At 42.6% G+C, this 14,355-nt stretch overlaps 1 protein-coding gene and 1 pseudogene across 1 annotated transcript in view; both read right to left on the reverse strand.

Annotated features, from left to right (window-relative positions):
- Window positions 1-14,355, reverse strand: part of RNF130 (ring finger protein 130) — a 160,109-nt gene that overhangs the window by 26,509 nt on the left and 119,245 nt on the right. The gene's annotated exons all lie outside the window — the stretch shown is intronic.
- Window positions 1,091-8,414, reverse strand: LOC101060066 (dnaJ homolog subfamily B member 6-like; annotated as a pseudogene).

Genomic DNA, 14,355 nt, shown 5'->3' on the forward strand with positions numbered 1-14,355 from the left:
GTTGCCCAGGTTGGTCTTGAACTCCTGTGCTCAAGCAATCCACCCTCCTTGGCCTCTCAAAGTACTGGGATCACAGGCACGAGTCACCGCGCCCAACCCTTTCAATGAATCTTGAAAACATTATGGTAAGTGAAAGAGGCCAAACACAAAAGGTCACATACTTTGCATGATTCAATTCATATGAAGCACCAGAACAGGTATATCATGGGGACAGGACACAGATTGGTAGTTGTCAGGGGCCGGGGGGATTGCAGAATGGGGAGCAACTGCTTAATGAGTAGGGGGTTTCTTTTTGGGGTGATGAAAACGTTTTGGAGCTAGAGAGGGTAGTGGTTACACCCCACTGTGAATATACTAAATGTCACTAAATTGTTCACTTACTTATTCATTTATTTTCACCAAACACATTCTCATTTCTCTTCTTTTTTTAGGCATATAACAAAGACCTAGTTTACCAGCTTTACATTTTAAAACCTAAGCTTAACATTATATATTTAAATAATTGTCAAAATTAAGTTGCCAGCATTCATGCACAATTAGAAAACATCCTTAATTTATATTAAACCAGAAATATATTATCATTATTGCATTAATACCTTTCACTACTAACTACTGAAAACCTTGCAATTATTTCTGTAGAAGACTCACCCTGGCAATGTTAACTTCACAGCAGGCTGACACCACATGGCTCACATTTCAGACAAAATGGAAAAGCCGATTCATGCTGGCGTTAGGGTACAATCTTGTCCTACCACTAAAGAGTCAAGGATCAAAAGTGCATACACAGGCCGGGCACAGCAGCTCACGCCTATAATGCCCAAAACTTTGCGAGGCTGAGGTGGGCAGATCACCTGAGGTCAGGAGTTCAAGACCAGCCTGGCCAACATGGTGAGACCCCATCTCTACTAAAAATACAAAAATTAGCCGGGCATGTTTAGTCCCAGCTGCTTGGGGGGCTGAGGCAGGAGAATCGCTTGAACTCGGGAGGCAGAGGTTGCAGTGAGCTGAGGTCGCGCCACTGCACTCCAGCCTGGGATACAGAGCAAGACTCTGTCTCAAAAATAAATAAATAAATAAATAAAAGTGCATACAGAGATTTATAACAACTTTTAAGACAGAAAAAAAGTGGTCCTATTATGTGGTCCTAACAATAAACTCAAAAGTTTATGACAAATAGGGGCTCTGTGAGTTGTTTATCAATACTTCAGGTACAATTCTACCAATAGTTGAGTTCATTTGAAATATTCAAAAAAATGTTCCTGTTAACCCTCAGATGGTGCTTCTGTAGCTGAACGTTTTTGTTCGATGACTTTGCATGCAAGCGCAGCAGCTGCTCCTTATGCTGGCCGTCTTCTCCCATTTCTACCCTTTCTCCGCCATTCCCAACAACTCTTTTTAGTGATGTTTCTGCCGTTAACCATTTCTAGTAGAAGTTGATATAGATTTGAAGTTGCCATTCCACTACCACAAATGACGTGGAAGAGAATGAAGTGAGGCCCTGTGACCTAGTGATCCAAATGAAGAAAATCTTCATCAAAAGAAGAAAATCCACTTCCAAAAGACGGAAATCCACTGAAAGCGGAGAAAAACGACCCCCTCCCTTGGCGACTCCTTTGATTCCCAAAAAAGTCCTCAAATGGGTCTTCAAAGAAGTTGAATGAAAATGGGTCCCTCCCACCAAAAATTCCCTGAAGACATCATCTGAGTTATGGAGGGTGAATCAACCTCAAACGGATGTCAAAATGCATTCCACCTCCTTCCTCTGTCTAATCCTTCTTTGTCATAAACGTCCCTTTTTTTTTTTTCTAGCATCAGACAGCAGCGCCTCATATGCCTCCACTGCTCATCTGAATTTTCTCTCTGCTTCTTCTTTAGTCTCAGGACTTTTATCTGGGTGCCACATCGGTGTCATTCTCCAACATGCTGTTTTAATATCCTCAGACCAGGCATGTCTGCACACCTGGACCTTCATAGTGACCGCTGTGCTTAACAGACGGTTGGAATGGGCAAGGGTGCAGGTGGTGGCACTGGCAGTGGCTCCTCACTTTCCTGAATTGTTCACTTTCTTTTTTTTCTTTTTTTTTTTTGAGTTGGAGTCTCGCTCTGTCACCCAGGCTGGGGTGCGATCTCGGCTCACTGCAACTTCCGCTTCCCAGGTTCAAGCGGTTCTCCTGCCTCAGCATCCTGAGTAGCTGGGATTACAGGTGCCCGGCACCACACCCAACTAATTTTTATATTTTTAGTAGAGATGGGGTTTCACCATGTTGGCCAGGCTGGTCTCTTTTGCCAGGCTGGTCTCGAACTCCTGACTTCATGATCCTCCCGCTTTGGCCTCCCAAAGTGCTGGGATTACAGGCATGAGCCACTGTGCCCGGCCCAAATTGTTCACTTTCAAATGGTTACTTTTATGTTATGAGAATTTCATCTCAATTTTAAAAACTTTAAAAATTGAGATAAAGTATCTTTTTCTCTGCCTTTAAGTTTTTCTGTGCTTCTTAAAATAACTTACTGTGATATGTCTTGGTGTGGTTTTTTTTTCACTCTGCTTGGTGTTCCCAGTCCTTCTTTAATCTGCAGTTTGATGTCTTTTGTCAGGTTTGAAAAATTGTGTCATTATCTCTTCAAATACTGCTTCTGCCCCATTCTCTGTCTTCTCTCCTTCTATGACTTGAATTACATGTATATTAATTTTTTCATCATCTAAAGACTCATGCCTTTTTCTGTATTTTTCTTCTCATTTTATTTTTTTGCTTCAGCTCAGATAGTCTCTCCTGACCTGCATTCCAGTTCATGAATCCTCTCTTAGCTGTGTTTAAGTTGATGTTAAACTCTCTATTGAGTTCTTCCTTTCAATTATTTTTCAGTCCTCGCATTTCCTTTTGATTTTGTTATTTCCACTTATTGGTCATTGGTTTCCTGAACATACTTAATTATTTTAAAAGTCTGTTCTTGTATTTCTAATAGTTAGATTTCTTGTGGATCTATTTCTGTTCTTTGTTTTTTCTCCTTTTTGGTCATTTGGTCTTATCTCCTGGCTTGCCTGCTTCGTTTGGTTGGTTTTTAATGGATTGCTGGACATGTATACAAGAAACAGAGATAATTTGACGTTGCTGATGGTGACCTTTCTCTAGAGGACTTCCCATTGCCTCTGGAAGTGACGTATCACTTTTAGAATATGGGCATATCACTTTAATCTAATTAGAGATTGAACAGATTCACAGTTGGGCTTCTGTCTTTGAGATGAGTCAAATTCTGGTTCAACCTCCAGTTCCAGGCTGTAGCCCTTTGGGGATCCCAATGGAAGGCCTGGGATGGTTATCGGGGTTCTTTCTGCTTGGTGGCCCATGAATTCCGAGTTTCATCTCACAAGCCCAATAAGACTGCTTGAGCTCTCCTTCTCTCTCGGTCTTTGGGCCATCACTTTCTAGTCACTGCTTATGAACTGGCAGATGCCACAAGAAAAAAAGTAGTGTTGAATACTGGATTCATATCTCTGTACCTCCCTCTTCTCTAGGATCTTTTCTCCTCAAGTCATCACTGCACTGATAGCTCTTTAATTTCTTAAAATAAAATGTTTTAAAAATACTTTTTCCATATTTCTAGTTCTTCTTGATATGATGGTTGCACCACAACAAGCTAGTCTGACATTACCAGAAAGAGAAACCTGATAAACTTATTACCAGTGGCTTAGAGTTTCCTTAATGAGGCTTAATAGAATACTGAAACTGATTAACGGAATTTAAAAAATGAAATAGAGAAGTACATTCTGCAAGTCTCTGTAAAACATAAGAATCTCATTATGTCTGTTATCCTATTTGCTGTTTTATGTCTTTCTTTCTCAATAAGACCATAAACTCCCCATGGGCACAACTCTGATACAGTTTATTTCAGTTTCTTCACATCATGCCAATAAATATTCCATTAAATTGAGTTGAGTGGGATGTACACTATTCTAATTAGAGTCACTAATTTGTGTCCAAATAGGTTTCACTTAGAACCATCTCAGTATGAAATAAAGAGGGCACTGGCACCAAGAAACAATGAAGAAGCTGAAAATTAACCAGCAGTTGTTATTTCTGTACCATCAGTTATGGTAGTTAGACGGCTTTAATGAAGATTACAAAGGTTTTAAATAACTGAAACACTCATCAGTTGAGGACTGATTCAATATACAATGCATTTATCAATATTAAAGAGACTGAGGCAGACAGATCTGTATGCACTGATGTGGAAAAATCTCCAAATTTTGGAAAAAAAGAATATATGGTCCGTATGCTCTTTTTGGAAAATCTATAGTATTATATGTTCTTAGTCTCGAATTTAAGTAACTGTTTTTGGATTAAGTTCTAGAAAATAGTAAGTGGAAGCCCAGCTGAGCCTTGAAACTGCAACCTTGAGTAAGAAAGAATTTTAGACATTTTAAAGGGAATTGTTGATGCGGATGCAAAAAGAGAACAGAATTCTATACAGCAAAGCCATTTAGGAGAAAATTTTCAGGTTACTATGAAGACTGAAAGCCTAAGCCTTAGCTGTTTAAACTGTAATCATTAGAGTACATTTGTGAAGTCCCTTTCTGAGACTTCTGGACTTCAAATATGTGATGTTTTCTTCAGAGATGCTGTAATGTTTCTTAGAACATCCTCTGCGAATTTGCTGCTATGGGTGACATATTTCCAGTTATGTGTAACTCTCTCCTGTGGATATAAGATAGGGCTTTTTGTTTGACAGAAGAGCCTCAAAAATGTCTTTTCTTCTGGCTGGGTGCCGTGGCTCAGGCCTGTAATCCCAGCAATTTGAGAGGCCGAGGAGGGTGGATCATGAGGTCAAGAGATCGAGACCATCCTGGCCAACATGGTGAAACACCGTCTCTACTAAAAACACAAAAATTAGTTGGGCGTGGTGGCACGTGCCTGTAGTCCCAGCTACTCAGGAGGCTGAGGTAGGAGAATTGCTTCAACCAGAGAGGCAGAGGTTGCAGTGAGCTGAGATCGCGCCACTGCACTCCAGCCTGGGACAGAGCGAGACACTGTCTCAAAGAAAAAAAGTCTTCCTTTGGGCTAAAGGAAAATGGACAGGTCACTGACCAATAGGTGACTGGTTTTATGACTGTGTGGGAGGGATTTTGTTGGGGAATGTGTGTGAAACCATCATATGCTCATACAGACACAAAATCTCTTTGGAAGTGTACACACAAGGCACAGACAACAGAGACTGCCAGGAGAGGTCTGGGACACTGGGATCAGGGAGGGCCTGACGTGGACTTTCTACCTTCCAACCTTTTTTACTATTTAAACTGTAATCAGTTTTACTATTTTTATTTTTTGCCATGTGCACTTATTACTTATTCAGAAAAACAATTTAAAACAATTTCAAACTAGAAGAAAAAGGGGATAAAGAGGAAAAGGCGTAACATGTATACTTTCACAACAACCTGCCTGCAAGATAGATGTGTCATTATTTCATACACAGAAAAGGTGAGGCTCAGAGAGATAAAATAACTTACTCAAAATCATAAAGCTAAAACTAGAATCCAGGTAAAACTGAACCCAAAGCCAAGTTATCTTTCAGCCTTATATTCTCATAAGTAACTTAGATTGCAGCTATGATTAAACCGCAAAGTATATTTAACAGTGATTAAAATTCCTGAGTTGCAACATGTTGACTGATTTAAGAGCTTATGCTGCTCAAGAAATGGCAACATAAATGAGAAAATACACTTTTTCTAAGGCAATAGAAATGTAATTAAAATTAAAAACTTCTCAAGGTCTTTACAAAGGTCCCATGTAACTAACCACTTCTCTTTATTTCTGAGAAATTTTTTTTTTTTTTTGAGACGGAGTCTTGCTCTGTCACCCAGGCTGGAGTGCAACGGCGCGATCTTGGCTCACTGCAACCTCCGCCTCCTGGGTTCAAGCAATTCTCCTGCCTCAGCCTCCCGAGTAGCTGGGACTACAGGTGCCTGCCACCATGCCTAGCTTTTTGTATTTTTAGTAGAGACGGGGGGGTTCACCATATTGGCCAGGCTGGTCTCGAACTCCTGACCTCGTGATCTGCCTGCCTTGGCCTCCCAAAGTGTTGGGATTACAGGCGTGAGCCACCGCACCCAGCCTTATTTCTAATAAATTTTAAGTCCTAAGTGTTCAGTGCTATTTCCAATAAATTAAATAACTAAAGGATCTGACAAGTTTTAAGATTTTCATGATGGAAACTTCATTGTGTTCCTATAATTGACTTAACAATTATGTACAGATCTATATTTTATATCTCCTTAACGGAATTAACGCTCCAATTTTCTCAATTTATTTTTTATTTTTTATTTTTTGAGATGGAGTCTTGCTCTGCCGCCCAGGCTGGAGTGCAGTGCCACAATCTTGGCTCACTGCAACCTCCACCTTCCGGGTTCAAGCAATTTCTCCTGCCTCAGCCTCCTTGCAAGCCACCATGCCTGGCTAAATTTTTTTTTTGAATTTTGTAGAGACAGTCCCCCAGTTCCTCAGGGGGCTGAGGTGGGAGGATCTCTTGAGTCCCAGAGTTTGAGGCTGCAGTGAACCATGATCACACCACTCCAGCCTGGGTGATAAAGTGAGACCCTGTCTCAAAAAAAAAAAAAGTTCACATGGAGTAGGGCTACAGGGGTAACGTGTCTGGCTCTGTGAAAGGGGCTCCTACCCCTGCTAGTCCCCTTTCCTCCTAATTTCTCTGCATTATTTCTAGCATGACAGCAGGCCCTGTTTCCAGATAAGGCACATATATTTGCTCACACGTGGCAAAGCTTTATTTTATCACTAATGCCTTGGGCTTAATGGTATCTGCACCTGTTGAAAGTTATAACTGGGCCAGGTGGGGTGGCTCACGCCTATAATCCCAGCCACTTTGGGAGGCCAAGGCGGGTGGATCGCTTGAGGCCAGGAGTTCAAGACCAGTTTGGCCAACATGGTTAAAAAAATAAAGTGATAACTGACTAGTATTTTCACATAAGGCTTTCATATGAAACAGGAACGGCCACTGGAGGTGAGGCTGGGCCTTCCTAAGGGCTGCAGGAGTTCTCGCCCACACCTGTGACCCCTTTCCCTCCACTACGATGAGCAAGGCTCAGTCCCACACCCTGCAGGGTGTGCTGACTGCACCTGGGAAAACAGTGGGACCCAATGGACCCAAACGCTGCACAGATCAGCTGCAAAACCTCAGCGGCGGGGGCTTTTCTGGGCTGAGTGGTACCTGAGCAAGGCGTTCCTATCATCAGTGCTAAAAAGGGCTCTGATGAGCAGTTCATCTTTTCATACAAGGAAAGAGAAAACATTGCTGAGCAACACTAAACGCCGGGTACTTTCACACACACCATGTTTCCAATCCTCACAGTGCTACGTTGCTGTTACAGTGACTTTTATTCCACTGGTGAGAAAACAGAGGCTGGGAGAGGTCAAGCAGGACTCACACCGCGGTGGACAGTCTAAGGTGCAGATCAAATCAATACAAAGCACTGAGAGGATGCTGGCTTGTGTGTTGAATGTATCGGAGGTGCAGGTGACAGACTCCAGAGGGACAATGGAAATTCAATTTGCTTTGCCCTAAGCTTATGAGCGGTGTCCGGCCTCGGCAGGAACCTAAATACTACGCGCCGCTGCAGGAAACTCTGTCATCTGTCCTGGGCAGTGCATGCACGCTTCCAGATGGGATTCCAGCCCGAAGAGTGTGGGAGCCTGAGCTGCATGCATTTATACCCACTCAACAATAAATGCCCGGAGGGAAAAAGGCGGGGGCAGGGATATTTAAATGGGGGCGGGGGCGATTCTGCCTATCACTCCCCACGGCCGCATCTGCCCAGCTGTGAGTGACAGAAGCATATGACTGACGTTCCTTCAGCAAGTCTCAGTTCCCCTGTGCTTCCCATCAGCGTTTCGCTGTCCTCCAAGGGACTTTTCAAATGCCATTTGGGCGATACTGTTTCTTGTATTTATAAGCCCCAAGCTCCTAGGGTGCAACCCCCTACAGTTACGGTAAGTATGTGACCAAAGGCCCATGCTGGAAACTCACTTTTCTGGATCTGAAAAGCAAGCAAGCATTCGTGCGTCCGAATTCTGAGTGACTCTTCACTGTCCATGTGTCTAGGCTGTTCCTGCCATAGCCGCGCGGGGTCTGTGTGTGGTCAGGAGGAAAGAAGCCCCCACAGGGAGGGCCCGCGTCAGGCCCCCCTCCTGACCCACGGTGAGAAACCCCGTTTCAAAATGCTTGCCTTTGGTCAGGCAAGACAATGGACATTTCCCTTAAAAGGGACTTTTATAAAAAAAACTTTAAGGTAAAGAAACAAGAGTAAAGAAAGTGGATAATTTCTACAAATGTACTAGCGTTCTTCTTAGTCTTAACAGACCGACCAGTACAGCACACCCACCGGGGATTTTTTTTTTTTTTTTTGAGACGGAGTCTCGCTCTGTCGCCCAGGCTGGAGTGCAGTGGTGTGATCTTGGCTCACTGCAAGCTCCGCCTCCCGGGTTCACGCCATTCTCCTGCCTCAGCCTCCCGAGTAGCTGGGACTACAGGCGCCCGCCACCACGCCCGGCTAATTTTTTTGTATTTTTAGTAGAGACGGGGCTTCACCGTGTTAGCCAGGATGGTCTCGATCTCCTGACCTCGTGATCCACCAGCCTCGGCCTCCCAAAGTGCTGGGATTACAGACGTCAGCCACCGCGCCCAGCACCATAGGGGATCTTTTCATCAGCTGGGTTTGCCTTTATCTTTCTTTAGCCTCGGGCTGATCTCAGGGCCGGTTGCCACCCTAGCTCCCGTTATTTCTACCTGTTTTTTCAACTCCTTGGCAAATAAAGTACTCTCCTTACAGGATCTCAACACCTCTCTCCCTGAGGATGCACTGTTGAGTGTGCACAAGTGCACACTGACGCAACCCTACTGTACTGAATGAATTCTTCACGGAAGTCTCCATACCTGGGTTTCTAGAATCTTCTCATCACTGACACAACTGTCTTCACCATTCTTGCCTCCTGGTTTGGTGAGGCAGTTTCTACATTAAAACAGTTTAAACTAGCAATTCTATCTTTAGTAACCCCACTATTTTATTATTTTCAGGACCAGTCTGCATTCAGATGCCACCTTCCAAAATGCATGGGCCTCCTGACTGCTGCCCACAGTAAAGTCCGTGCCCTGTAACATCACCATCCAGCCCTAGGACACGTCTCTCACCCACCCCACCTGTGTCCTAAATCAAGCCCAGCACACTTCCTGGCCTTTTCTACTATCATGCTCTGCACACTAGGGGCCACTGGTCAGGACACCCCACAGCCTGCCCCTGACACTTGGTGAGCTTCTCTAAGAGGCAAATAGAATGGGGTTTGGAACACAGACCCTGGGGGCCAGCTTATGTGTTGAAATCCAGCCTCTGCTACTTACCAGCAGGGCAACCTTGGCAAGTTACTGGATTTCTCCAAGCCTGTTTCCTCATCTGTAAAACGGAGTTAATAAGAGGGTTGTTGCAAGGATTTAATGAGTTAATGCAGCAAAATGCTTCAAAGAGGACCTAGCATGCAGTTAAGCACTGTATGTGTTAGCTATTATTATTGTACACTATTATCAAACAAAAGTATATGTGTGTATATGTAAGTATATAGTAGGTATACATTGATATAGCATATATATACTGCATATGGTATATATATACCTACACAATATGCTATTATATATTATACATACAGTATATCTATATACACAGACCATATATGCATGTAAGAATATGGGTGTGTATGTGTTTGTGTAGCTCAGCCCTCAAATAGCTACCTCCATTCACTTCCCCCGTTTTCACCCTGAGACTCTGAATTGCTCTAGGGTGCAGGCTGTGCACATAGTAGGTCCTGGTCTAACTGTCTCCAGGCTGGAGGGTATAAAGTAGTTGGGAGCATTGACTCTGGGCTGCCTGGGTCTCATTCTGACTTTGCCCCTTAGCAGGTGAGTGAACTTGGGCAAGAAACTTGAACCTTTTGAACCATCAGTTTTCTTCACTTGTAAAACAGAAAACCAACTATATCTTCTCTCATTCAGATATTGCGAAGATTAAAATGGTTATACATGTGAACAACTCAGCATGCTACCTGGTACACCCTAAGTGATCAGGAGCCCCTGGCAACAGTTAACAGTTTCTTCCTGCCCAGCTTCATGGCAGACCTGGAATGGTGGTCTCTGTTTCACCGGGACTCTATTCTTTGTTCTGTTTGTTGCTCTTGGCCTGGTGCATTGGCTCATGCCTGTAATCCCAGCACTTTGGGAGGCTGAGGCGAGCGGATCACCTGAGGTCAGGAGTTTGAGACAAGCCTAGCCAACATGGTGAAACCCCCATCTCTACTAAAAATACAAAAATTAGCCAGGCATGGTGGCAGGCGCCTGTAATCCCAGCTACTCAGGAGGCTGAGGCAGAAGAATTGCTTGAACCCAGGAGGTGGAGGTCGCAGTGAGCCGAGATCACGCCACTGCATTCCAGCCTGGATGATAGATAGAGCGAGACTCTGTCTCAAAAAAAGAGAGAGAGAGAAAAAAAGAGTCTTGATAAGGAACTTGGCATAACTAAATAATTTGGAAGATAAAAAGTCAAGGAAGCTTCAGGATCTTTTACCAATTATTTTTAAAGTCTAAAGTGACAACCTAGCTAGCCAATGAGAAATGTGATTTAATGGACTTATCAGGCTAAGACTGCCTTAAGCTGCTGGGTAGAATCAGGGGCACTTGCTTTCCCGTGGAGGGTCTTCAGGTGACGTTCTTATCAACTTCTGACCAACCTGGCCAATGCTTCCTTGGAATAATTTTTTTTTTTTTTTTTTTTTTGAGATGGAGTCTCGCTCTGTCACCCAGGCTGGAATGCAACGGTACCATCTCAGCTCACTGCAACCTCTGCCTCCCGGGTTCAAGGGATTCTCCTGCCTCAGCCTCCTGAGTAGCTGGGATTACAGGCATGTGCCACCACGCCCGGCTAATTTTTGTATTTTAGTAGAGATGGGGTTTCGCCATGTTGGCCAGGCTGATCTCGAACTCCTGACCTCAGGTGATCTGCCTGCCTTGGCCTCCCAAAGTTGCAGGGATTACAGGCATGAGCCACCGTGCCCAGACAATTTTTTTTTTTTTTTAAGACAAGGTCTTGCTGTGATGCCCAGGCTGGAGTGCAGTGTTGCAACCATAGCTCACTATATCCTTGAACTCTTGGGCTCAAGTAATCTTCCTGCCTCCTGAGTAGCTAGGGCTTATAAGAACAAGCCACCATGTCCAGCTAATTTTTAATTTTTTTGTAGAGATGGGGTCTTGCTATGTTGCCCAGGCTGAAAATACTCTAGAAAAATACTTTAAAAAAAAAAGAAAGAAAAAACAAAGACAAAACAACCTGTCTCTTGCATTACAAAAGTTTGTCCAAGAAGGGTTTAAAACTCTGAAATACCAGATTAAATTTTAATCTCGAATTTTTTAAATAGTAAACAAAAATTATTCAACTTTATACATTGCTTCTATTTGTAAATCTGACTTCTTAGTTGTGTGAAATTAAATAACTCAAAGCTGTTGTAACTTTAAGTTATCCTGAGACTTCAGAGGAATGTGGCTCTGCAGCCTGCGTCGCTTGGCACGCAGCTGCAACTTCTGCCTTTCAGAAATGCTGTAAATAATTAAGACCAGAGATGAGACCCCTCAGATCACCACCCCTCCTCAAGGAGCAATCTGTAATCAATCGGATCACTGTAACATACTCACTAGCCTCACGTGGAAAATGGTATAATCTTGCTAAAACTTCTGTCTCTGCCTATATGATACTTTAACTTCTCCAGAGTGGAACACTGACCCCATTTGTTTGAAGCTGTTTTCCTGGGTGGCCATCCTCCAGCTCTGTGCTTGAGCAAACTCTATACTTAATGATATTTTCTGAATCTCATTATTTAAGGTTGACAGTTGATAGCATCATGCTTATTAAATAACTTTTTTTTTTCTTGAGATAGAGTCTCACTCCATCCTGGGTGATGGAGTGAAATGGCATGATCTCAGCTCACTGCAACCTCTACCTCCAGGGTTCAAGCAATAGACTCTCCTGCCTCAGCCTCCCAAGTAGCTGGAATTATAGGCACCTGCCACCACGCCTGGCTAATTTTTGTATTTTTAGTAGAGATGGGGTTTTGCCATGTTGGTCAGGCTGGTATCAAATCCCTGGGCTCAACTGATCCACTTGCCTCAGCCTCCCAAAGTGTTGGGATTACAGGTGTGAGCCACCCCACCCGGCCTAAATAACTGCATTTTGATACTAATCGTATTTCTGGTTTTAGGAACAAAAATACATGTTTAAGGTGCAAATGCATGCACATGTGCACACAAAATATACCTTCATGGTTACTGAGACCATGATTAAATTATGAAAAATTAATAATGTCTGTTAAATTTCAAAGTCACAAACAGGTTCAAATTTCAAAGGCAGATGACAAATGTTCCCTAAGACTGATGGGAAGTCCCAATCTATCAATTCACTCATTTCGCTTCTTAGCTCTTAACAAAAATTCTCTATCTGGCCTTGAACAGCATCTATTTTTTTGAAGTCTTAATACTATGACTTGAAATAATGTGAAAAGAAAGCACATTAAGTTAGTAGAAAGAGTAACACTGTCATTAAAAGTCCTACACCTCCTGATGTACTTCAGCATCTTCTGATGACTGCTGATGAAGGAAAATAATGAATCACCGTTAAATAAGGAGAGAAGGAAAGAAAAAGGAAGAATTGCTTTGATCTCCACTGAGATGAAACCAGGTGGGGAGGAACTATACCATGAATCTACGAAATACCACCAGAGGAAAAAACTTTTTACTGAGGAAGCTATCAATACAAGAGAGTCCACTCTAGAAAATAAGGCCAAACATGCTCGGCTGAACTCTGGCATTGTGAGTTGGCTGGAGTTGGTTCAGAGGAGGGCCACTGAACCAGGGAATCTCAATGGATAGAGGTGTATGAATAACCAGTGCAGCTTTAAAACATTCTTCAACCCCGTATGCACCTAACAACAAAGCCCCAAACTACATGAAGCAAAACAGACAGAATAAAAGGGAGAAACATAATTCAACAATACTAGAGATAACAATACTCACTTCCAACAAATTCTAGAACTACAGAGAAGAAAAACAAGATAAGATTTGAGCAACACGATTAACTAGACCTAACACACGTCTACAGAACAGTCCATCCAACAAGAGCAGAATAGGTTTTTGTTTTTTTTTTTTGAGATGGAGTCTCGCTTTGTCGCCCAGGCTGGAGTGCAGTGGCGCGATCTCGGCTCATTGCAAACTCCGCCTCCCGGGTTCACGCCATTCTCCTGCCTCAGCCTCCCGAGTAGCTGGGACTACAGGCGCCCGCCACCACGCCCGGCTAATTTTTTGTATTTTTAGTAGAGACGGGGTTTCACCGTGTTGGCCAGGATGGTCTCGATCAGAATATGTACATTCTTAAGTGCACATGGAACATTCTCCAGGATAGACCATGTTAGGTCGTAAGAGAAGCCTTAATAAATTTATGATTGAAATCATACAAAGTATGTTCTCCAACCAATAACTGAATTTAGAATGAAATTGGAAATCTACAACAGAAGGAAATTTGTGAAATTTATGAACACATAGGATTCAAACAACATACTCCTAAATAACCAATGGGCCAAAGAAGAAATAACAGGGGGAAACCAGATATGAAATAAAAGCCACAACAATATCAAAATTTACAAATGAGTGAAATAGGACTCAGAGGGAAATTTATAGCTATAAACAACTACATTAAATAAAAAAGACCTCAAATCAATAACCTCATCTTCCACCTTAAAAAACAAAAAAACTAAACCTAAACCAAGTAGAAGAAATAAAATAATAAAGATTTGAGTAAGGCCAGGTGTGGTGGCTCAAGCCTGTAATCTTACCACTTTGGGAGGCTGAGGTAGGAGGATTGTTGGAGCCAGGGAGTTCAAGGCTGCAGCGAGCTGAGATTGTGCCACTGCACTCCAGCCTGGGTGACAGAGCGAGACATCTCAAAAACAAAACAAAAAAACAAGATTTGAGTAAAAATTAATGAAATAGAGAATAGAAGAGAGAAAAATCAATAAAACAAAAAAGGATAAATTCCTAGAAAGATACAAATGACTCAAACTGTCTCAACTATAAATAAAAAACCTGAATAGGCCTCTAAGTGAGGAGATAATGAGTTGGTAATCAAAAAACTTCCTACAAAGAAAAGTCCAGGACCAGATGGCTTCCAAATATCTAAAGAATTAACACAATTCTTCTTAAGATTTTCCAAAAAACAGAAGAGGAAAGAACACTTCATAATTGTTTATATGATGCCAGCATTAC

Source organism: Homo sapiens, chromosome 5, assembly GCF_000001405.40.
Source record: "Homo sapiens chromosome 5, GRCh38.p14 Primary Assembly".
NCBI lineage: Eukaryota > Metazoa > Chordata > Mammalia > Primates > Hominidae > Homo > Homo sapiens.